We start from the raw sequence: 26,286 nt of genomic DNA, 5'->3' as shown, positions 1-26,286 counted from the left end.
CATCAGCTCCTTTAAGGACTTCTCTGTGTTGGTTATTCTAGTTATCCATTCGTCTAATTTTTTTTCACAGTTTTTAACTTCTTTGCCATTGGTTTGAATTTCCTCCTGTAGCTCGGAGTAATTTGATCATCTGAAGCCTTCTTCTCTCAGCTCGTCAAAGTCATTCTCCATCCAGCTTTCTTCCGTTGCTGGTGAGGAGCTGTGTTCCTTTGGAGGAGGAGAGATACTCTGCTTTTTAGAGTTTCCAGTTTTTCTACTCTGTTTTTCCCCATCTTTGTGGTTTTATCTACTTTTGGTCTTTGATGATGGTGACATACAGAAGGGTTTTTGGTGTGGATGTCCTTTCTGTTTGTTAGTTTTCCTTCTAACAGACAGGACCCTTAGGTGCAGGTCTGTTGGAGTTTGCTAGAGGTCCACTCCAGACCCTGTTTGCCTGGGTATCAGCAGTGGTGGCTGCAGAACAGTGGTGGCTGTAGAACAGCGGATCTTGGTGAACCGCAAATGCTGCTGCCTGATCGTTCCTCTGGAAGTTTTGTTTCAGAGGAGTACCCGGCCATGTGAGGTGTCAGTCTGCCCCTACTAGAGGGTGCCTCCCAGTTAGATTGCTTGGGGGTCAAGGACCCACTTGAGGAGGCAGTCTGCCCGTTCTCAGATCTCCAGTTGCGTGCTGGGAGAACCACTACTCTCTTCAAAGCTGTCAGACAGGGACATTTAAGTCTGCAGAGGTTACTGCTGTCTTTTTGTTTGTCTGTGCCCTGCCCCCACAGGTGGAGCCTACAGAGGCAGGCAGGCCTCCTTGAGCTGTGGTGGGCTCCACCCAGTTCGAGCTTCCTGGCTGCTTTGTTTACCTAATCAAGCCTGGGCAATTGCAGGCGCCCCTCCCGCAGCGTTGCTGCCACCTTGCAGTTTGATCTCAGACTGCTGTGCTAGCAATCAGTGAGACTCCGTGGGCGTAGGACCCTCCAAGCCATGTGTGGGATATAATCTCCTGGTGTGCCGTTTTTTAAGCCCGTTGGAAAAGTGCAGTATTAGGGTGGGAGTGACCCAATTTTCCATGTGCCATCTGTCACCCCTTTCTTTGACTAGGAAAGGGAACTCCCTGATCCCTTGCACTTCTTGAGTGAGGCAATGCCTCGCCCTGCTTCAGCTCACGCATGGTGTGCTGCACCCACTGTCCTGCACCCACTGTCTGGCACTCCCTAGTGAGATGAACCCAGTACCTTAGATGGAAATGCAGAAATTGCTCACGCTGGGAGCTGTAGACCAGAGCTGTTCCTATTCGGCCATCTTGGCTCCCTTCCAGTGTGCATCGATTATTAATGTGGTGATTTGTGGACTTAAGAGCTAGGAGTGAAGTTTGTATTTTATGCAGTTACAGATAATATACCATGCTAAATGAAATCTGACCTTTGTTGTTGGGAGACTGGTGTTACTTAACTGAATTGTCATAACTGAAATTCCTGCATATCAGAATCATGCAAAGTGTGGACCACCTGGAAATACATCTATATTCATACATACCTATCTATTGCTACAAATATGTGGATGCTGAAACTTTTTTCCTTGTAGGGTGAGTCATCAAATACTTTGGAGACCATTTGTTTAAAGGAATAATCCCCAAATCGCCACATAATTCCATTCCCTAAACAGCTCAAGGAATTTATATCATTAGAGCTCAAACTTGCCCAGGCTCAGTGGCTCACACCTATAATCCCAGCACTTTGGGAGGCCGAGGTGGGCAGATCACCTGAGGTCAAGAGTTCGAGACCAGCCTGGCTGACATGGAGAAACCCTGTCTCTACTAAAAATAAAAAAAAATTAGCTGGGCATGGTGGCCTGTAGTCCTAGCTACTCAGGAGGCCGAGGCAGGAGAATCTCTTGAAACCAGGAGGCAGAGGTTGCGGTGAGCCAAGATTGCATCACTGCATTCCAGCCTGGGCTACAGAGCAGGATTCTCTCAAAAAAAGAAAAAAAAAAAGGCTCAAAAAGTGTCTTAGGTGTTTTAATATCCACATAAACTAGTGCAGATTCATGCATATAATATATTGTATCTGCATGTCTTATGCATGAATTAGAAAATTAACTGGGTATTTTTACTGTTTTTCTTTCTCCCACAAAATATGACATAAAATAGAGAATATAGTAAACATCCTATATTAACTTTTTCTGATGATCTTAACAGTCAACATGGCAAAGAATTAGTTCCTACATATTATCAGGGGAACCTGTCCCCAGTAATTCAAAATGAGTCCTTTTCTATTTTCCCGGTGTCGGCCTATCTGAGAAATAAAGGGAAAGAGTACAAAAGAGAGAAATTTTAAAGCTGGGTGTCCAGGGGAGACATCACATGTCGGCAGCTTCTGTGATGCCCCCAGGCCACAAAACCAGCAAGTTTTTATTAGTGATTTTCAAAAGGGGAGGGAGTGTTCTAGTAGGGTCTGGGTCACAGAGATCACATGCTTCACAAGGTAATAAAATATTACAAGGCAAATGGAGGCAGGGCGAAATCACAGGACTGGGGTGAAATTAAAATTGCTAATGAAGTTTCGGGCACGCATTGTCATTGATAACATCTTATCAGGAGACAGGGTTTGAGAGCAGACAACCGGTCTGACCAAAATTTATTAGGCGGGAATTTGCTCGTCCTAATAGACCTGGGAGTGCTACGGGAGACCGGGGCTTATTTCATCCCTTATCTTCAACCATGAAAGACAGACATTCCCAGAGCAGCCATTTTAGAGACCTCCCCCTAGGAATGCATTCTCTTTCTCAGGGCTGTTCCTTGCTGAGAAAAAGAATTCAGTGATATTTCTCCTATTTGCTTTTGAAAGAAGAGAAATATGGCTCTGTTCCGCCTGGCTCTCAGGGAGCCAGACCTAATGGTTATCTCCCTTGTTCCCTGAACATCACTGTTATCCTGTTCTGTTTTCAAGGTGCCCAGATTTCATATTGTTTAAACAATTTGTGCAGTTAACACAATCATCACAGGGTCCTGAGGCAACATACATCCTCAGCTTATGAAGATGACAGGATTAAGAGATTAAAGACAGGCATAGGAAATGACAAGAATATTGATTGGGGAAGTGATAAATGTCCATGAAATCTTCACAATTTATGTTCAGAGATTGCAGTAAAGACAGGTGTAAGAAATTATAAAAGTATTAATTTGGGGAATCTTCACAATTTATGTTCTTCTGCCATGGCTTCAGCCGGTCCCTCTGTTCAGGGTCCCTGACTTCCTGCAACAACATATCTTTTCTGTCTTCTACTTTTTTTCATTGGAACCCAACAGAATCAAACTCAAACATTAAAATCCTTACTTTAATAACCATTATGACTTAATTCTTGTAAATCACTGTGTTCTTTTTTATATTAATACAGTCTTTTATGTGAAATAATATTTGATACATTTTAAGTATTACAGGTAGCCAAAGGCCTGTGGGACCTGACCAACTCAGCATTCTGCTGGAGGCTATATGATCAAACAGCAAACTGTTTCTCATGAATGCAGGATGTGGGCAAACTCACACTGCCCTGCCACCAAAAGGTTTGCTTAGGGAGATCACTCGCTGGAGCCAGGCTCCTTGAAGTTATCTACTGAGAAAATTAGCACCTATTGTTCAAAGGAGGCAGTCTTGCAAGCCTGCTGTGAACCAAATGGCTGACTGAAAATTACCCGACAATCATCCCCTCTTTCTTGCTATCTCTTTTGCCTAATAAATATGGAGAGCTGTGTAAAGCTCAGGGCCCTTGTCCAGTAAAGGCATGGTGCCCCCGACCCCTTCTTCCAAATATACTCTTCTTTTGTCTCTTGTCTTTTATTCCTGCATTCACCCTCCTTTGTTCAGTCCAATAGGTCCATGGCAAGTATCCTACTATAAGCATTTTCCTCTACCGTTTCCTGGCATATATTAATGGAAATGACCATTGTTATTGAGCTGCCTTTTCAATAAAGAAGCCCAACAGTGTTTTTGTTAGACACACATTTTTTTAAAAAAATAATTATTTACATGAAAAATGCAGTGATCAAGTACATAATTTTTACATTTAGCACAGCCTAAATTAGTTTAAGGAAACAGCTGAGAATGGTAATGCTCATTGTACTATCCCATAAAATGCTTAGTAAGAAAACCACCCATATTTCAATATCTTGAAATGTCTACATGGGAAGCCTCGAGTGTGCCAAGCTTCACTTGTATGTAACCCAGGAACTATTTGTATGTAGCATACCTGTGTTGTTATTTGCCATTGCTTTCTAGTACTGGCAACCTGGTATAGTACAGGAGTTGGCCAAAAACTTTTATAAAATGCTATAAATACTTTAACCTTCCAGGCCACATACTTATTTCTGTCACTTTTCTTAACCCCCCATCCCCCAATCTTAGCTCATGGTTCATTGAAAAACAGATTCTCAGCCAGATTTGGCCTCTGGTCCAAAGTTTGCTTACCCCTGATACAGTGGTTAAGAACATTGACCTTGAAACTAGACTTCCTGGGCTCAAATCCCAGGTCTGTTACATATTAGGTGTGTGATCTGGGGCAAATTCTTGAACATAAGTTCTTTAGTTTCCTCTTCTGCTAAATGATGATACTAATGTTACCTCCCTCATGGGGTTCTAGTAAGGATTAGTTAATTTAGTAAAGTACTTGACCAATGTGTAGAACATTCCAAGTGTTAGCACTATTATGAGGAACATTATTCCTTGCAACAGATTTGTAGGAGCTTTTGTAGGTTTTTGATTTGCTATTCAACAGTTATCCCCCACTTATTCCATGCCAGCAGAACCTTGATTTTGTTTCATTGTCTACCTAGAATTATTAGTTCACCCTAATTTTGAAAAATGTTTCCTGGCCAGTGAAATACTGAGAATGCTGAATGAGATTTGAGACAATACAATTTCATAATGATTAACAGATTTCATAAGACAGCCCTTTGATTTTGGTAGATGTTCTTATGTCTGCATGTGTGATTCTATCTTTTGGTCTTGAGGTAAGATCTGACAATAGCAGAACACAAAACTGGGAAGCAGTTGGATTGATGGTCTCTAGCAGGTAAATTAACCAACCTTGAAGCTTTATATGAGATAATAGTTTTTTTGGTCTCATTATACTGGTTTAGTTGGGATTTTCTGTTTCTTAGAGCTGAAGGTGGTTTAACCAACTCAGGCAACCTTTTTGAAGAATTATTAATTCAGAAATATTAACAGCAGTCTCTGGGGAGAATATGCTCTTAGGAAAAATTGATCATGGGTAGCTGTGTTTCAGCCCTAGAAATCTTCATGTGGCAAGCCTGATTCTTTGAAGTAAAGTTATTCACTATTCCATTGTAAGAAACAACGAAGCTCTGCTTCATTGCACTTTTTCATTGCATCAGCACAAGAAAATCACTTGGAAATTACCATTATCTCATGTATATCTTATATTTAAAATATGTTTACTAAGTTTAATTGTTCATTGATCTGTCCCTATGTTGTTGCTATGAGGTAAGGATTTAACTTTGTTTTCCCAAATGAATAGCCAGTTTTCTCTACACCATGTGATCAGTTCACACCTTTCCCACTAATTTGAAATACTATCTTCATGCTAAATGGTCATTTATGAGAGGTATTTCTCAGCACCCCATCCCTCTGTTCTTATAGTTACCAACCTGCCTTCATGACCTAAGGGATGGCAGATATTCCAGAGATTTCACATCCTTCTGGCTCAACATTTATTCCAGGGAAGGGCATTTAATCCAAGATGGGCCAATAAGAGTCTGTGGGTTTTTGTAGTAGGAGATCATCACATTCTGTCTGTTGGTGACCTTGGAACTGCCAGTAACCCTGTTGAGAAAATGTGTCTACATGAAAAAGTTACCATATGGACATTTGAAAGGCAGATGGAGTTGGGATGTTGCACAATCCAGGAAGCAATGACTCCTTTCTTCTAGATGCCCTAAAGGCCTGCACCATCATGCCATCTCGTTCTTGTGGTTTCATTATTAAGCCAACAAATACTAATATCCTGACATTTTATGTTTCTGACATTTGTTTCACTGATTTCTTTGTTTGTGCTCATACAAAAGGTAATGTTTTAGTATGTCTTTATAATACTTTTTTTTCCCCCAAGACAGAGTCTTGCTCTGTCATCCAGAGCTGGACTGCAATGGCATGATCTCAGCTCACTGCAACCTCTGCCTCTTGGGTTCAAGCAATTCTCCTGCCTCGGCCCCCTGAGTAGCTGGGATTACAGGCATGCACCACCATGCCAGGCTAATTTTTGTACTTTTAGTAGAAACGGGGTTTCACCATGTTGACCAGGCTTGTCTCGAGCTGCTGACCTTGTGATCCGCCTGCCTCAGTCCCCCAAAGTGCTGGGATTACAAGCATGAGCCACTGCACCCAGCCTATAATACTTTTAATAAAGAATAGCACTTTAGGCCAGGCACAGTGGCTCATGCCTATAATCCCAGCACTTTGGGAGGCCAAGGTGGGTGGATAGATTGAACCCAGGAGTTTGAGACCAGCCTGGGCAGCATAGTGAAAGCCTGTCTCTACAGAAAATTATCTGGGCCTGGTGGCTTGTGCCTGTAGACCTGGCTACTCAGTAGGCTGAGGTGGGAGGATTGCCTGAGCTCAGGGAAGTTGAGACTACAGTGAGCTGTGCATTGCACCACTGCCCTCCAGCCTGGGCAACAGAGCAAGACCCTCTTTCAAAAACAAAACAAAACAAAAAACCCAGCATTTTCTATTTCTTGAAGTTATTCCCCCCATATATTTTTGTTAAAGGTTTTATTTACTCCATTTGTTAGTTTCCCTCACCCCATACAAAAGTTTTGCATTCTGATTGGATTTGCATTACCCTGAGGTGTAAAAACTTTTCCTTGCTTTCCAAGATCAGGCCAGAATCCAGGGATTGGGACTCAGATTGCACCTGCTTTTCCCTCTTCTGGACAGCTCTGCTCCTCAGAACCACCTCAACATTACCAACTGGCTTGGGGTCAGCTCCCTGAGCCCTGATTTTGCCTCCTCCCTGCCTAGCGGTTCTTCCACAGCAGGTCTGTCTTCATTTCCAGCAAATGGAAGCCTCATCTGGACACCGATGCATCTCCAGGTTTTCTTTCTGTCTGCTTAAAAATGTCTTCAGGATGCCACAATTTGGGGTTATGTGTGATTCTATTCAGAGCAGATTTTCCCACTCTGAATGTGGAGACAATATTGAGCCTTTGGGCTCTAACCTCAACTCGGTATTTGCTTGTCTGACTGAGCAACATTCTAACCACTGCCTACCTGCCTACTAATCTTTACTAAAAAGGCTCTGTCTTGTTGGTTAGCTGACAGCTTTCACTAAGCCATCTATCTGACCATAGTTATCTGTGTGACTAACAGAGATGAATGGATTAAGGCCTTTTGCCAGGGTGAGTGTCTGGGTGATAATTTCTCTCCTCATTCTTCACAGCTCTGGAACACATCCCCTGCTCCTGCCTCCGCACCTTCTCCCATCTGGAACACATTAAGGGGTTTCATAAGCAGATGTAACTTAGCATACTTCCTGACCTAGCACCCAATGTATAGTTTCATGAACTTGTTCATATGTGAACTGCATGTTTCTGGGGAGTGTGTTGGTAGCTTCCATCATACTCTCAGAAGAGTCAGTAAACCAAGAACCACAGCACAAATGAGACCTTCAGAAAACTCTCAGATGGCTCAGACTGCCCCCAAACACCACTTTACTGCTTTTCTTTTTAAATTTATTATACTTTTTTACATGGGTCTAGCAACCAAAGGAATGTTTTACTGCTTTTCAAATCTGCTCTGAGAGCCAACTTTGAGAGTTGGAGTTGAGGATCAGGGCTGCATGTTAACCTTGTTGGCTGTGAGAAACCTGCACAAGTGGCTTCCAAGAGAGGTCCAAGGGAGTCCATCTGATCCTTCCTTGCCTAGTGGTCTCCTTTAGCACAGGACAGCAGAGCATTCTCTCTGTAGCTCATTCAGAACCCTTTCACTCTGAACTGAGAGATAAAGAATAAGATGTCAGATGTGTTTCTGCATTGGGATAAGTAAGGACAACGCATATCCTGTGGGAAGGATAGCTTTTACACCCAGAACTGTCTGAGATTTTACAGTTAAGCTACATCAAAAACATTAAAAACAGGGAAACAGAAATATCAAGTAAGAATGAATCTAGTAGAAATATCTCAAAAGATAATAACAATATGATTATATATTTGTACTTTGTGTTAATTATTTGTGAAATATTTTTCTTGCATGAGGCAATAGAGGCAACTCCTGCTTCTTTGAGCAGAATGAGAATTTAGTTTAAAGATATAGGGGAGAAAATAGAATAAGTACTGTGGCATTGGCTTGGAATAGGTGTTATTGTGAGTATATGACTTTCATTAAAATAAGAAATATGTAAAAGTGCAAATGTGGCTGCTTGTATGCACACATCCCAACTCTGTCCACTGAGGGGGCATGGTAGCGCTAATAAACTAGTAGTAATAAGCATAGCTGGTTTCTACATTTTGGTTCCCAAATGCCATTCTTTACTAAAAGAACCTGGTGTCCTTGAAGAAATAGCTGATTGCAGGACTGGGACAAGGAAATTACAAGATTAGCCTGAAATATTTTTTTGTGTGAAAAAGTAAAGAAGTGTTCACAGCATGATGAGACTGTCAAAAGTACACAGTTTAAAGCAACCTAAAGGGACCCCTATTGGCAGAATCTGGGACAGTGTAAGAATAATGATAGTAATGGACTGTAGAACATTGAGTAAAATAGAAATCCATAACTCTACACTAATACAAATGAATGAAGAGAAGAGAATGCTCTTCCTATCTGATAAATGCAGAAGGAATAATGGTACTAATAAATTACCATTTGGTTGTCATCACAGTAATGATTACTTCAGGCAAGAAACACGAGTGGATACCAAAATTAATGGAAGAAAGTGGAATGAGGAATCGTATTTGATATAGTCTCAGAGTATCACTCTACAACATTCTTAGTAATTCAAGGGTGAAAAAACAGAGTGGAAAACATAGCAAACACCGTTTTGATCAAGTGATCAAAGTTAATACCATCAGTAATTGATTAAATCAGCATCATGGTGCCTCCTGAGAGGACACAGTGGCAACTTGGCATCATTTCAGTGGCAATTCAGCCACAGGATACTCTGGGTCTACTTCTGAGAAAACATCAGACAGAGGAAAACTGAAGTATATTCCACAAAGTGACTGAGTTATTCTCAAAAACATCAAGGTAATCAAAGTGCAGGAAACTGAGGAACTGCTCCAAATTGAGGAACTGCTTTGGTTGTCTGATCTGGAGGAACTGCTCCAAATCAGACAACCGGGTAAGCCACACAACCCTGGATGGATTCTTTTCCTATAAAGGGCTTTATTAGAACAATTGGTGAAAGTTAAATTTGGTTTAGTATATTCTTGAGTTTTTTTGTGCTGTACTTACTACTTTCCTGAAAGTTCAAAATTGTTTCAAGGATACCACGGCAACTAGAAGGTGAAGGAGGAAATCCAAGAAAAAAGATTCACAGAGGGTGGAGTTCCAAATTCTGTACATAAAATCAGCTAGTATATCTAGCTGACATCTGAACTGCAAATTCCAACCAAGCCATCTTAGGCTGAAGAGATTTCAGCTGCTTTCCACGACCTAGTAGAAAGAGCTTGGAGTTTGAATCCAGACAATAAACTAACTACTGGAAGAGAAACTATCAGTAATATTTAGAGGAACAATATAGAACCCAGAGTCTCTACCATCTATCATACACAACGTCCAGAATCACTTTGCATATGAAGAAACAGAAACACATGAACCACATCAGAAGAAAAGACAATCAATGGAGACAAGTTCTGAGATGACCAAGATTTTCATGGAAAAGTTATTTTTTTGTTTGTTTGTTTTCTGAGTCAGAGTTTCACTCTTGTTGCCCGGGCTGGAGTGCAGTGGCATGATCTCGCCTCACTGCAACTTCCACCTCCCAGGTTCAAATGATTCTCCTGCCTCGGCCTCCCGAGCTGAGATTACAGGTATGTGCCACCACGCCTGACTAATTTTTTATTTTTTATTTTTAATAGAGACAGGGTTTCGCCATGTTGGCCAGGCTGGTCTCGAATGCCTGACCTCAGGTGATCCACTCGCCTTGGCCTCCCAAAGTGCTGGGATTACAGGTGTGAGCCACCACACCTGGTCAGAAAAGTGTTTTTTTTTTGTTGTTGTTGTTTTTTAAAGTGGCTTTTTTTTTTTTGGATGGAGTTTCACTCTTTTTCCCCAGGCTGGAGTGCAATGGCACAATCTCAGCTCACCGCAACCTCTGCCTCCTGGGTTCAAGCGATTCTCCTGCCTCAGCCTTCCGCGTAGCTGGGATTACAGGCATGCGCCACAACACCGGGCTAATTTTGTATTTTTAGTAGAGATGGGTTTTCTCTGTGTTGGTCAGCCTGGTCTCAAACTCCCGACTTCAGGTGATCTGCCTGCCTTTTGGCCTCCCAAAGCGCTGGGATTATAGGTGTGAGCCACTGCGCCCGGCCTAATGTGGCTTTTAAAACTGTGCTCGGCTGGGTGCGGTGGCTCATGCCTGTAATCCCAGCACTTTGGGAGGCTGAGGCGGGTGGATCACGAGGTCAGGAGTTTGAGACCAGCCTGACCAACATGGTGAAACGCCGTCTCTACTAAAAATACAAAAATTAGCCGGGCAGTGGTGGCACATGCCTGTAATCCCAGCTACTCAGGAGGCTGAGGCAGGAGAATTGCTTGAATCTGGGAGGCGGAGGTTGCAGTGAGCCGAGATTGTACCACAGCGCTCCAGCCTGGGTGACAGAGTGAGACTCTTGTCTCAAAAAAAAACACAACCCAAAAAACTGTGTTCAAGAACATATACTCATAATGTCATATATGACATATGTTCATAATGAAGGAGAAAATGAATGGGAAGTCCCAGCATAGAAATATAAATTACAGAAAAAACCACATGGAAATTATAGATCTAAAACATAAATTACCTAAAATAAAAAATTCACTAGATGTGGCCAAGTGCAGTGGGTCATGCCTATAATCCTAAACTTTTGAGAGGCTGAGATAGGAGGATTGCTTGAGACCAGAAATTCAGGGCCAACCTAGACAACATAGTGAGACCTTGTCTCTTAAAAAAAAAAGCCAGGTGTAGTGGTGTATACCTGTAGTTCCAGCTGCTCAGGAGGCTAAAGCAGGAGGATTGCTTGAGCCCAGTAATTGGAGGCTACAATGAGCTATGATCGTGCTACTGCACTCCAGTCTGGGAGACAGAGTGAGACCCTGTCTCTAAAAATAGAATAGGTAGGGTGCCAACAGTGGAGGAGTGTGCAGCTGCATAGAGGGGAAGCCTGACCCTTTCCCACCCATCAGAGTCAGATTTACCCAAAACACACGAGGCCATGAATACCACAAAGATCTGCATGGTGACAGCTCTTGGGCTCTTGTGCTGCTCTGGGCCACCTTTGTATTTGGTTTGCCTCGACCCTCTCCTCCCAAATTCTATCTGTGGAGGTCGCAGCCCCACATCTAAATAAGGACGGAAACATGTGGCATGCAAAACTGACTCGTTTCTATCAGTGCTGAGACACAGCACTGGATGAGAACTCCACAGAAATCATCTTTCTTTCATCTTGGCCTTTGCAGAGTCTCTGGCTAAGTGCAGACTCAGACCCAGCCCTACAGTGCAGGAACTGGGTCTGTGGGTACATCTCAGGGCTTGGAATTATTCCTGGCACCTAGCATGGATGGATCCTGCCAGGGAAAAAGGAAGAAAAAAAGCACACATCTAGTGACTGCTGTAATACAGCTTCTCAGGAGATCAGCTATAAATTTCACCCAAAGCTTAGGGGAAAATAATGGCTAATGGTAGGTAACATGGAGTACCTGCAACACTCTGTTATGGAACAAAGCTAAAAGGAGACTGCATGGTTAGCTTTCTTCTTAGACAGCTTGAGAGCTGAGTTCCTACAAGTTCTCCCCTTGATACATAACCTGCAGTGGGCACTAGAGGGCACAGCAGTGTCACTGTTCTGCTGCCTTCTGGACTTTCTAGAATGACAACTACAGCTCTGGAGAAAGGGGCACCCAACGTGGACCCAGATCCAGGTTTCCCCTGTGAGCTTTCAAGACCTGAAAAGGGTCTGAGATTTTACTCTCCTGCAAGCTAACTCCTGAGCCTGCCAGTTTCACAAAAGCTGGCAGAAGACATGAGACACCTGTGTCAGAGGACAACAATGTTATTACACACAGAAGCTGCCATAGTCAGAGTATCTGAATTTTGTGATGCCAGTTTGTCAAGCCCCACATGGTGATGGAAAAGACCAGATGATGTGGATGTGCAGTGGGTTGTGCTACAGGAGAGAAGCAGCGACCCTGAGCTTAGAGAACCTGGATCTTTTACACTGGCAGGAGGCATGACTGCCCTTTGCTCCTAGGGACACACTATCTCCACCTTCTAAGGCTGTTTGCTGCACAAACATCCTGGAAAAGAAAAAAGACTTTGTTCAGACAAGTCCTCAACAAAGACTTGCAGGAGACATGAGATATCTCTATCCAGGAGATGAGTAAAACACAAGAGATGCAGGCAGCACTGTCTTCAGACAGTGGCTGTGCTTGGAAGCAAAGGCCTTAGGGATAGTGACCCACTAGTGCACTTTATAGGAGCAGCTAAATGGCTCAGGCATTAGGAGCCCAAAAGGAGCCCAACCAGCATCCATGCAGTCACTCATCATTCAATAAACTTTGCTTGAGCACCACTGTGTACCAGGCATACAGCCCTGGTTCTACTCAAATTAGAGTCTTCACCTTACACTTTTGATGACAGCCTTCACAGTTATCTTTTATCTTTCCTCAAATCCTCTAAAAACATTCTTAATCTTTTTATGCATTGGGTCTCTTTGATAGCCACGTGAAGCCTAAAGACCCTTTCTCAGAATATTTTTAAACTATTAAAATACCTAAGAAAATAAAACACCTAAATTAGATAAAATAAATATGAAAATAAATAAGGAAAATATCTAATAAACTATTACTATTATTAAAAACCAGTTGTCAAATATTTTAAAAATATACAAAGTATATAGAATATTTTTAAAAACTTATTTGGGAATAGTCTACGTGCTTCTCTGAGCATTAAAATAAAAAGATTTAGTGGTGGGTCTGGTAACTACTATGACTTCAAAGTCGTGACGAGCATAAAGGATATTTAGAGGTCTGCTACACAACGGTAACTCCCGACTCTAGACTGGCCTCCATGTTTTGGAATAATGCCAATATTTCAGACAAATGTCCTCATTTGGGGTCTAGAGAATAAGACCCCTGCACATATGTAGAATCCCAGAGGATAGAGACCATCTAGGAAGAAGGTGGAGCTCGGCCAGCCTCTGTGTCACACCGTGGGAACAGCAACAGAAGTGTGCATGTGCACTTGGGTGAAGAAGGCAGCATCCGCATGGCCCAGCCCAGACCAGTGAGCAAAGACCCCATGAAGAAGGGTATGTCTTAGCAGAGGCCCCAAGGGCACATGAGGAGGAAGGGGGTGAACTGGACAGAAGGCGGGAGGCCCCAAGAGAAGAGCAGGAGTGGAATGGTGTGACGTGCCTGAAACTACAAGCTGCTTCAAGTCGCTACGTGGGAAGTGGAGGCTGGGAAAGGCCAGGGCCTGGAGTTGGACAGACCGGGCAACATCAGTCATTCCAACGGAGCCCATTGCCTGCTTTCTAGAATGTGGAAAGACATGGCCAGGCGCAGTGGTTCATGCCTATAATCCCAGGACTTTGGGAAGCTGAGGTGGGCAGATCACTTGAGGTCAGGAGTTCAAGACCAGCCTGGCCAACATGGTGAAACCCTCTCTCTACTAAAAATACAAAAATTAGCCAGGCGTGGTGGCACACACCTGTAGTCTCAGTTACTGGGGTCAGGAGGGGTGGGGACTGAGGCATGAGAATTGCTTGAACCTGGAAGGCGGAGGTTGCAGTGAGCCAAGATCGTGCCACTGCACTCCAGCCTGGGTGATAGAGCGAGACTCTGTCTCAGAAAAAAAAAAAAAAGACTTTCTTACTGGTTAGTAAATAGCAGCTGCCCCAGGGTCCCTATACTAACCCCACTTGCCCAGACAAGCACACTTCTCTCCCTGGACCCCCACCACTCCCAAACTCAGAAATTAAAAGACTAACTCCCAGGCCATTTGGGGACCCCTATGCTCTGCCCCAGCATGCATCTGCTCTGATTGATGAGTCTTCATGCTGCAGTGGCCTGCACACCCGGGGACCAGATGTGCTATGGAAGACAATGCACAGTCAGCTTTGCATGTTCAGGAAGTCACGCCAAGGCAGTAGGCTCACTTGGAGCTGCTTCCTTGGTCTTTAGCTTGAGCAGAAGGCTCTTAGCTGTGAGGATGGAAAGGCCCTGGCTGATGGAGTGTTCAGGAGTGTCCTCTGGTGGCCCTCCTGGACCACTGTAAGTTGTTCTCTGCTGTCAAGCATTAAGTTCAGCCTAAAGCTGCCTCCTTATGTGGTTTAAGCTCACTAAAAGATTTCTCCATGCACAGTGAACTGTAACCTAACAGGATGTGTAACAGGCTGGCACCTACAATTGTGATTGTACCAATCAGAGCTTCGGCCAATCACAGGTGGCTGACTGCTCAATCTGTGTTCAAAGAAGGCAGAGGTGGAGCTGTGACCAGTCCAGCTGTTTCTGTGCCTCACTTCTGTTTTCTGTCCCTCACTTTCCTTTTTCTGTCCCTAATATTATCCAACCATGGGGCAGCCGCAGAGTCTCTTAGAACCCCTTTCAGGTTCTAGGGGCTGCCTGGTTTGCAAATCATTCTTTGCTCAGTTAAACTGTTTAATTTTTCTAAAGTTTTTATTTTAATAGAAGTCAAATTGAAGAGCCAGCCTGCACACCCATGGTCTCCAGCATTTTCATGGTTCACTGCAGGACCGTGGGCTGACTTTGCCCTCCTGATCCTGCCCCTTTGCAAGGCTCAGATGAGCTTTCGTGAAGTTGGTGGGGTGGCGACCCTGCTGGTTCCCTTCTAAATGACAGCACATCTGCTGTAGCTGGGTCTCCCTGCAACAGAAGTCAACCCTTATCTTGGATCCCCAGCAATGAGCGTGGCCCGGGACTCCGGGTACTTCTGAGAACTCATCCAGGAACTACTTACCAGTTGGTTTCCCTGTGCATGTGATCAAGGTTCTGGCTTCAAACAGCCTCTTGGTTCATGTTTAAAAAACAGATGGAGAAGGAAATACCATTGAAGAGAAGTAGCAAGGGAAGAATAACCCTAAAGTAGTTGCCCTTCCCAGGGTAATGCAATAAGTGAAAACCCAGATAATTCAAGTATTTTATTTTAGTCAACATTAATTGAATATTTCTTTCAGACAGGAATTTGAGATTTTTTAGTTTTAAGTTTTTATTTTAGTGTAACTAGATTTGATGCAGTGCCTGGCATATAGTAGGTGCTCAATAAATTATTAAGGATAGTTCCAATAAGTTTACTGCACCTGTAAGTTAATAGAATTCAAGATATTGATATAATTATCATTAGATATCTTGGTGAAAAAACTGAAAACTCAGGTGTCAAGCAAAATCCTCAAGAGACTCTATACCAGCAACAAATTGGAAAGCAGTATTTAGTGAGAATAAATTTTCTGTGGACAATATGCCTATTAATAAATGTGCTAAGGGTGCATTTCTGTTTTTAAATGAGCAAAAATGTGTAAATGCAACTATTAGAAATGTAAAATGAATTGAAGAACAAGAAAACAGATGAAAGGAAAATAACTGCTATTGAATTAATAGATTGTATACCACTCCTAAAAGGAAACTATGTGTATCAGCCTGAAAATTTCCTTCAAAAATGGAAATGTCTCCTAAAGGAAACAGGACCAGGTATGCTGGACATCTGACCAGGTGTGGTAGGCACCTAACTCTGTATGCTAGACACCTAACCAGGTATACCGCACACATGACTAGGTATGCTGGACACCTGACCAGGTGCAGTAGACACCTAACTTGGTATGGTAGATACCTGACCAGGTATACTGCATAACTGACTAGGTATGCTGGACACCTAAGAATGCTTTATCCTGACGGACAAGAGATCATTCCCTGGAGTCAATCTTCCTTCTCAGGGCATTTAAATTGTGTTTCTAAGTTGGTAAGATATTTTCCACATAACTTCAGAAAAATCTCAAATGATAATAATGGCTATTATTTATTAAGCATTTGCTATGTGCCTTGCTCTGAGCTAAATGTTTAACATACATTCTTTTGTTTAATGCTCACAATACTTATGTGGAATAATTTTTTTCAAATGGGGAAACAGATTTAAAATTGGAAAATAATTGCTTAAATTCCCATGAATAATAATAAGTTCATCTGAGCACAGGTGTGTCCCATGTCCGACTCTTAGCTCTGTCACCTCCTGTCCCAAACAATGTCACTGGTTTGAGCCCACAGTTACTTACACCTGCGTAACAAGACCATAAATAAGAATATCTTGAAATATACAACAGCAGGCAATCTGGGGGGCTTGTGTAAGCAATTCTGCAAATACTTGGAGTGAAGAGGCAGTAGTCATTGGTGGCATCATGCCACAGGTAAGCATTTAAATGTTAGAGATGCTTTCATTTGATTGGTAAAGCAATATTCTCAAACTTGATCTCATACACCATGCTAATACATCTCTAGATCAGTATACCTGTAGGTCAGTGGCACAGATGTCCAAAGTGTGCTTTAATAAAATGCAAACACTGAGTGTATTTTTGAGGCTGGAGTTGTGTATTCCTCTTTGTGAGAAAAGCAGGAATTTTTTTTCTCATTAGTGCTTGAGGCAAGCTTGAAATACAAGTTAATAGGACTCAAAATTATCTCCATCTAATGTTTTTAAAGGCAATCTTCTTTAACGTAATCAGAGGAAAATAGTATACTTCGGAGACCAAAAAAAAGTGGCATATCTTAGATCAAAGGTTTTTCCTGGTGATTGTGTTTGATTATCTTTTAAAAATATGCATAAGAGTTTCTAGAATGCAGCAATTGGATTTTTTACTTTCTATACTTCTAATTCTGACTTTTATATCATAAGACAATTGGTGTGTCTGTTTATAATGATGGTAATCCAGAAGGGCGAGACTATATTTTCTTAATTTTTCATGAATACATTTATTTCTAGAACTGTAACTAAGGTTTTTCAATAGCTTCACTGAGAACACAGCATGCTGCTGGCTGGTCCCCAAGTTTCTGGTGCCTTCTCAGTCTCATTTATGAGAAGATAAAATGAGAAGTCCTACGCACCCAAGCATATGATCCTGGTGTATGTGTGCTTTGAAGAACAGCAAAAGTCCAGGAAAGGTAGGACTTTGCATACAAATGTGGAAGGTCTGTTGAATGAGGCTTTTCTCTAGGTGGTACAAAGAAATCCCCTGTGAAAATACCTGATATTCACACAAAGGGCTTGGTATGGGCCCAGCCTGTGGTGCACCTGGTAGGGAACAGTATTACTGTCAATATTGCACCTGAACAAAGTCATGCACTTCCATAGATGGATGTCTCAGGATGGCTGCTGTCATCTACACAGAGCAGAACTTGAATAAAAATAAGACACGGAAATTGAGAAGTATCTGTGGGCATGGCTTTGGGGCCAAGGGCAGTGGGGTCTGAAGGATGACCATAAAGATGGCTGCCTGGGAGACAGACTAAGTAATTAATAAGCTCGCCAAGGTTGCCCCACATGCTACAATGATTTGCTTGATTTTGAGCTGTAGGAACAGGAGGCTGCCACGATGAAATGCCACAGGCTGGGTGGCTTGAACAACAGAGGTTTATTTTCTCACAGCACTAGAGGCTGGAAGGCCAAATCAAAGTGTCCTCTGGTGATGGTTTCTTCCTGGCTTGCAGATGACAACCTCAATGTGTGCTCACATGGCAGAGAGAGAGAGAGAGAGAGAGAGAGAGAGATGGAAACAGAGATAGAGATGGAGAGAGACAGAGACAAAGATGGAGGCAGAGACAGAGAGACAGAAACAGAGATGGAGACAGAGAAAGAGAGAGACAGGGACCAAAATAGACAAAGACAGCTAGATGGAGATGAAGATAGAGATAGGGAGAGAAACAGAGAGAGACAGAGAGATACAAAGATGGAGAGAGACAGTGATGAAGAGAGGAGACAGAGCAATCTCTTCCTCTTCTAAATACTCCAGTCCTGTGAGAATTAGGGCCCCACTCTTAGGACCTATTTACCCTTAATGACCTCTTTAAAGATCCTGTCTCCAAATACAGTCCCATTGGTGTTAGGGCTTTAACTTATGAATCAGGGGGACACAGTTCAGTCTGTAACCAGGGGCAAGGGGACACAGCCATCCACACTGAATTCCTTGTTCTTCAGCACTGTTCCTGCCCCCAATCTTGATAAATTGAGGACCCTCCCACACAAAAAAAACACCTTGAATGTCACAGAGAGACTCTTTATGCTGCATTATATTTACTAAGTGGTAGCTCCTTTTGAAAGGAATGATTCACTCTCTCTGTGGGAACACCCTAAATACACAAGGGGCAGAGCCTAAATACAAGAGGGAAACGGAGAGAACAGGCTGGTGTCAGCTTCCTCTGTATGGTGTCCAAGGCTGCCGCTCTGGCTCTGGCCAGCTCATCAGAATTGGGGCCGTAGCTTCAGAAAGATGAGACGTGACTGTCCCCACCTCTGTGCTGGCCCCAGAGTCCTCAGGATCAAGCCTGCCAGCTGTTGCTCTGCCCCAGCAGAACCACGCAAAAGGGCATTGTCCACATGCTCACCATACACAGAGGATGTGGGGGTGCTGAGGGTGAGGCACGACTAGGAAAGTCATGCCCTCAGATGATACTGAGTCATGAGACCTCGATGGGACCCAGGGCACCTGTCAGAGGCTGATGCCCTGAGAGAGGAAGCAGCGTACCCACGGGAACAGGGCCAAAGTGCTAAGGCTTGGACTCACTAGTCAGGCCCCTCTCACAAGGGGAAAAGAAGACCCATAACAGGGCAGTGTAGAGCAGCAATGTTATTTCTAAAAGAATAAGTTCAGGCCAGGCATGGTGGCTCACACCTGTAATCCCAGCATTTTGGGAGGCTGAGATGGGAGGATCCCTTGAGGCCAGGAGTTTGAGACCTGCCTCAACCACATAGCAAGACCTCATCTCTACAAAAAAAAAAAAAAAAAAATTAAAAAATTAGCTGGACGTGGTGGTGTGTGTCTGTGGTCCCAGCTACTCAGGAGGCTGAAGCAGGAGGATCACTTGATGTTGGGAATTGAAGGCTGCAGTGAGGATGATTGTGCCATTACACTTCAGTCTGGTTGACAGAGTGAGGCCCTGTCTCAAAAGAAATAGGAAAGCAAAGAAAAGAAAGAGTAACTTCAGGACCTTCAGAAAGCTTTCAGATTTGGTCTTATATTCAGCAACCAGATGGGCACATTGCAGTGGCATCACACAGTTTTACCATATGTGTTACTGACCTCCCTGGCCACATAGGATTATGTGAGCAGTTTTGCTGGAATACAGAAACCCAATCTCAACCTGGTAATTCAATCCTGTTAAGTGGGGCAATAAGAACAATGACAGATGGAAATTGATTCAGCAAGGATCTACTTTACAGTGAAAATGCTGGGCATGCAAAAACGCACTCGGAGGGGACCTGAGGTCAGTTTATTAACCACGGCAACACGTTTGTTACAGACCTCATGACACTGATGCTGCTCACAAAGGTAAGGGACTCGGAAAGAGCAAGGCTTGGGCAAAATGATAATAGGGAGAAAAACAGGCTTCAGAAGCTATGCCTATCCTTGACTGCAGACCTTGACAGTGTTTTCTCTAACAGGCTGACTTAGAGTAGTGTTTTATGGCAAACTGAAGTTGAATGGCAAAACAAGTCAACAAAGTGATGGGCGTCAGACCTTAAGAGGCAGCAAGTGGTAACAACACAAAACAGGCTCCCACTCTGGCACAAGACCCAGTGAACTGTCAGGGAATCCCAGGTGCCCCTGCAGGATCTGTCTCATGGCAGGCAGAGCACATCAGCGGGGCCAAGGCCCAGGTGAACTGACCAAGGGGAGGTATGGACTTTCCAGGGATAGGGACATGGTTAGGACCCATCCATTGGAAAGATAAATGATGGAAGAGCACTCGAAAGAAGTCTCTGAATTGTTCAGAGTGTAAATTTGGTGAAGGAGGGAATTTTAGATTTAAAAGCGAGGTGGGTAAATACCTTTCTATGCCATAGAAAAATGGTAAAGTTCATTATTACAGGTATAAGATAAAAGTACAGATATTCTTAAAGTGTGTTTGTGTAAAATAATGCAAGATTACTCCACAACAGATTCTCATGACAGTGTTTAGGATTTTGAAAAGTTAGGAGAAAGAAAATGTAATCAATACAGACAGTTCTTGATTTATGCTGGTTCAACTAGCAACTACATCAATAAATGACTTGAGATGTTTAACACCTTATTATAAAATAGGCTCTGTGTTACATGACTGTGCCCAACTGTATGCTAATTTAAGTGTTTTGAGCACGTCTAAGGCAAGTTAGGCTAACCCATGAAGTTCTATAGATTAGGTGTATTAAGTGCATTTTCAACTTACCATATTTTCTTTTTCTTTGTCTTTCATTTTTTTTGAAACAGAGTCTCGCTCTGTTGCCCAGGTTGGAGTGCAATGGCGCAATCTGACTGTATGCAACCCCCACCTTCTGGCTTCAAGTGATTCTCCCTCATCAGCCTCCCGAGTAGCTGGGATTACAGGCCTTCATGCCCAGCTAATTTTTGTATTTTGGTTGAGATAGGGTTTCACCATGTTGGCCAGGCTGGTCTTGAACTCCTGACCTCAGGTGATCAGCCTGCCTCGGCCTCCTAAGGTGCTGGGATTACAGGCATGAGCGAGCAAGCCCAGCCTTCAATGTACCATATTTTCAATCTGCAATGGGTTTATCAGGACATAACCCCATCATAGCTCAGGGGCATCTGTTCTGGACTAGACTACCCTTTGGTTGCCATGACATCCTGAGGCCCCCTTAGCATCACAGCAGAAAACAAACTACTTTAACTGGGCGTTATATCCAATTCTACAGTAAGATGTGGCCAAAGTGTTAGAACCAAAATGGTATGTAAATTGCATAATCCCATGTGCAAGACAGGATTCTAAGAACCAGCTTCTAATTCATCAGTGACACATATGGTAGTCACACAGATGTAGATTTATGATCAATTGGGGATTTATGAAATACTTCTTCTTCCATAATCTTTTTTCTTCTGCAGTGAGCCTCACTCTCTTCATTCATCCTTGGGTTGTACATTCCTTTTTCTCTTAAAGAAGTTCTAATATTTTCTTTGTTGTCTTCATAATACTTTTAACAGAACATGACCCCAGAGTTGAAGGCAGTAAAGAGTCGGTCAACATCTGTCCTAGGGAAGAATGACTGGATTTCCCTGTGCTAGAATTTCTATAGAAGGGGTCCACCTGGAGAACATGCTCACCCTCTCCCATGGAACCTTTGATTCTGTGGCAGTGCCCTGTGTGTATGGGCCACTCTTCACTGCCACTCCAACAAGCAGCAAGGTTTCCAGGGCAGCAGATTGCTTCTAGCAAACACCACTAACACCTTCCCAGGACTCCAACAACCAGCAGGTGAAACATCACTTGCTGCTGCTGCTGCTGTCCCCATTGTCCTTGCTGTGGTTCATCTGGGGTGAGCAGCAATCTACTTAGGAAGTTTGTTTTTGTCTCACTGTATGAAATTCTCACCAGAATCCCTTGTCTATTGTTAGCTACACACCCTGGTGGGTCCTTAGAGCACTGGTTTCTGACAATATAATAATGTGATTAAACCTATTTGACCCTCTTCTCAGAAAAAATCAATACGGATATATACACATGCAATAAAAATTTGCAGCTAATGTTAGGAAGTTTAAAATCCACTGAAGCTTGAATGATTCTAAAGATTTCTGCACTACAAAAATTTGGGAAATAAAATTTAACCCCCTACAAACACTTTTGGAAATTTTTTTCTAAGGCGTTTGTTTGGACTAACAGATTTCAATAAGCTGGTTGCTACTTATGTGTCTATCTTCACTCCCAACATTGTCTTGAGGGTGTTAGAACCACCTTCTGTTAAGAATTACATCTGTGAGCAATGCACAACTATTGAAATATTGACTATGGTTGCCGTCATACATGTTATATTGCTCACAACATTGATTTGACTTTGGAACATGTTTGTGTCCCAGGGAACAGGTCTATGCCTCCTTTGGCTTTGGCTTTCTGCAGCCAAATCTCCATGGCCATAGGGTTTTCAGGCCTCTGCTTATATCCTTAAGATAGTCTCAGGCTGAGAGCCAAAAACTTTGTGGGGGAAAGTTAGGTCATTAACTAGCAGGAGTTTTGAAAACAGTTCTCCCAACCTAAGAAAGTGTGATTATAAATACTATTCTAGAACAGTTTACATGCCTGCATCCTGATAGAGATTAGGCCTTTGTGTGTTTTTAAGACTACAGTCTCACTTAATGATATATTTGTTTTTAATAAAACTCGGTAAATATATTATCTCAGCATCTCCAGAGGATATTATTTTATAATTTGCTGCATTTGGATTCTAAATATTCTTCTTATTGTCCAGAAGAACAACAACAAAGAAAACTTTTATTAGCAGAGAGAAAATAAGACGGATAATCCTTGCCTTCCTGGAGGTTCTGTAAGTCAGACTGGCCTGCCCTGTGAGGACAGCATTCTTTCCTCTTTATCTTCTTTAATGACTGCTCTGCTAATCACACCTGACTCCTGTTATCAATCCTGTGGTTGTATCTTTTCAGGGTTTTTACTGTGGTCAGAGGTTTCCAGATACTCTATTATTATTATGAAAAAGAAGCATTGTCATTATCGGACCTAACTTGGGACACAGAACAATGAACAATTTTTCAAAAGGAAGGAATCTAGCAGATATTCAGCTCTTGTATCTTTTTACTTTGCATCCTGAGAAAAGGCATCTACCTCGGTGACAGGAATTCAAGGGAAAAAAAAAAAAACCCTGAAAAACAGACACAGAGTCTTTGGGACACTGAGAGGTTGGCCACTGTGTGTCTTCAGTCATGCTTTGCATTATGCCACACCAGGACTCTTGCGTCCTTCTGGATCCATTTGGATGTCACGTAATTATTTGCAAGGATCAAGGTTGTCACACATGGGCTATTCACTTGGAATCTTTTGAAGAGCAGAGCAATATTGCATTGTAGACTTCATGGCAAATATTTTTCAAAAGCAATGTGTAGGTTCATCTGTGCTTATATATCCGACACTTTATTCACATATGGGTTGAGAGCTTGTATACTACGTTAAATATGAATTACATGAGGGATATATTCAAGGTACTTGAGAAGCTTGCTCTGCTGCTGTCTAATAAAAGGCCACTCCTGACTTCTTATGCAGGACAGTGTAGATGTGGCTTTCTATGAAACAGCATGTAGGTATTGCCATGTCTGTGTGAATATCAGCCATTGCTACAACCAGGAAGTTCATAAGCACATGCGCTTTCTGTAGGAGATTCAGCTTTGAGCTCTTTTCTCTGCATTAATCACAACCTTCTCTGGGCTTTCACAGCACTTGACACACATACTAATACTGCAACAGTTAACAGTTTCTTAGTGATTATCACTTTTTACACAGCGACTCTCTCACCCTCCTGCTGGAATGAAAGCTACTGCAGGGCAGAAACCAACTTATTTATGTCTGCATTTTCAGAGCTCAGCACATGGCATGCCACCCCCCCCCCATTCCATGTCCTCAATAAATGTTTACGGAATGAATTAACACAGAAACGGAAAACCAAATATCACATGTTCTCATTTATATATGGGAGCTAAGCATTGAATACATAGGGCATAAATAGGGCAACAGTAGACACTGGGAACTCCAAAAGAAAGGAGGGATGGAGGGGTAAGGCTTGAAAGACTTCCTATCAGGTACTGTGCTCAGTGTATGGGGATGGGATCAATAGAAACCCAAACCCCAGCATCACAAAATACACCCTTGAAACAAACCTGCACATGGATCTCCTGAATCTAAAATAAAAATATTTTTAAATTAAATTAATATATTTTAAAAATTTATATGGCCGGGCGTGGTGTCTCAAGCCTGTAATCTCAGCACTTTGGGAGGCCCAGACAGGTGGATCACCTGAGGTCAGGAGTTTGAGATCAGCCTGGCCAACATGGTAAAACCCCGTCTCTACTAAAAATACAAAAATTAGCTGGGTGTGGTGACTGGTGCCTGTAATCCCAGCTACTCTGGAGGCTGAGGCAGGAGAATCACTGGAACCCTGGGGGTGGAGGTTGCAGTGAGCCGAGATTGCACCACTGCACTCCAGCCTGGGCGACAGAGTGAGACTCCATCTCAAAAAAATATATATTAAAAAAAAAGTATTCTAGGACGGACACAGTGGCTCATGCCTATAATCCCAGCACTTTGAGAGGCCGAGGTGGGAGGATCACTTGAGTCTAGTTTGAGATCAGCCTGGCCAACATGTTGGAACCCAGTCTCTAAAAATACAAAAATTAGCCTGATGTGGTGGTGCACCCCTGTAATCCCAGCTACTCGGGAAGCTGAGGCACTGAGCACAGGAGGTAGAGGCTGCAGTGAACCGAGATTGTGCCACTGCATGCCAGCCTTGGCAACAGAGTGAGACCCTGTCTCAAAAATAAATAAATATTCTGAAGCATAAAAATCCTAAAACATATCATTCTTGACAGAAGCAGAGAAAGTTCCCAGGAACAAAAGGTTATCATGAAAACAATTATTGGAAGAATGAACAAATAAATGAAATGTAAACTGTCTTCCTGTGGTTCAAAACCACACCTGCCCCATGTCTGTTAGTTAAGCGTGGGAGGTCGGCACATCCTCTAGGGCCACTCACTGGTGCGAGCCTCTTCTTGCAAACTGTGCCACAGATCAGGCTGGCATCCACAACAGCCCGCCTGCCCTTGGATCCTCTTCTCACCCAGTGTTGCTCTGATTTTCTGGTTGTTTATTTGAATGTTTCTGGGATGCTGTATCTCCCTCATGGTCCCTGCCCTCCCCGCCCCCACTGGCTTTGCCTCCCCCAGTCCCCGGGGTCCCGGCACAACTCTGTCTTCCAAGTTGTGATGGGGAAATCGAGTAGAGAACTCAGACTGAGCTGTGTCCTGCAGACCTGATCTTCACCCCGAGTGATTCCAGTGTTGTCTACGTGGCCGTGGGGGCTCCAGGTATTTGCCTGCCACGCAAATCATGACGGGGGCCACCTGCCTTTTGACCCTGAGTCTGCAGCTGCTGTCCCCTCTCCCCAACCTTGCTCCGAGGTCACAGTTGTTTTCCCCAGGCTCTCGGAAGGAAAGTCCCGCTGATGAAGTGAAGGGACTGTGGCTCATAGCAGAAAGAAAACCCCTAAATGACGCTTCTTGATGCAAACACGTTCCATGTGGCATGGCTCACCATGCCAGGATTCCATCCCAGAATGGTGCGTCCTCACTCGGCATCACTGTGAACTTCCCACAGGCCCAACCCAGGACCCCTGGCCCCAGCGCCTAACAGGTGCTCCCTCTGCAGATTTCTCCACCAAGAGGTGTAAACTGAAAAAATAAAATTCTAAGCTCCCCAACTGACCGGGCAGAACCCCTCTTGGCCAAGGGTACCCCAGGGAAACCTTAAAACTGACTTCCCAGCCATGTTGGCATGGAAGGTGGGACACGCCTCATTATACCTCACCCTTTTGGGGTTTAGACACAACTGACCAGGAGTAATGTCAGAACAAAGACAAGACTGATGGAGGAGACTCTGTGGCAATAAGATACCAAAATTATACACAGGGCCTAAGGCTGCACCAGGCAAGGGTTAAGACATGCACCCTACACTGTGCATGGAGTAAACTGTGTTCTAACTCTCACAAGATTTTTCTATTTCTCTGGCAGCTAAACAAGCCCTGGCCTCGAGATAAACAGTGTTGCAGCAGCAACAGCTCACCAAATAGCAGACGCGGCCTAACTGAACCCCATTCCACTAGCCACGACTACAGCTTTGATTTAGACAAGAGACTGAGTGACTTTCTCCTGATAAAAAGACCCCCAACCATGGACTGGCTCCAGCCACTTTACCAGAGGCTGTGCCCTTGAGTGCTTTGGTGTCCTGAGACCTTTTGATGTATATAGCCCAACTGTAACACATTTAAGTGTTAGGTTTCCATCCCAAAGTGAACTTGGTTTATATGTAACATGCATGTTTGTCC

At 43.3% G+C, this 26,286-nt stretch overlaps 1 protein-coding gene across 10 annotated transcripts in view; it reads left to right on the top strand.

The window, feature by feature from the left end:
* Nucleotides 1-8,402, top strand: part of ZNF248 (zinc finger protein 248) — a 99,566-nt gene extending 91,164 nt beyond the window's left edge. For 9 of the 10 annotated variants that reach the window (XR_001747152.2, XR_001747150.2, XR_001747148.2 and 6 more), the window contains one exon: nt 6,875-8,402. The gene's annotated coding sequence lies outside the window, so the exon portion shown is untranslated. The remainder of the gene's footprint in view (nt 1-6,874) is intronic. The other variant, NR_147994.1, reaches the window with a different exon arrangement.
* The last annotated feature ends 17,884 nt before the right edge of the window (nt 8,403-26,286 follow it).

Source organism: Homo sapiens, chromosome 10 (genome assembly GCF_000001405.40).
Source record: "Homo sapiens chromosome 10, GRCh38.p14 Primary Assembly".
Classification (NCBI taxonomy): Eukaryota; Metazoa; Chordata; class Mammalia; order Primates; family Hominidae; genus Homo; species Homo sapiens.
Note: the sequence above shows the minus strand (reverse complement) of the source record. Positions and strands in the feature narration are given on the sequence as shown.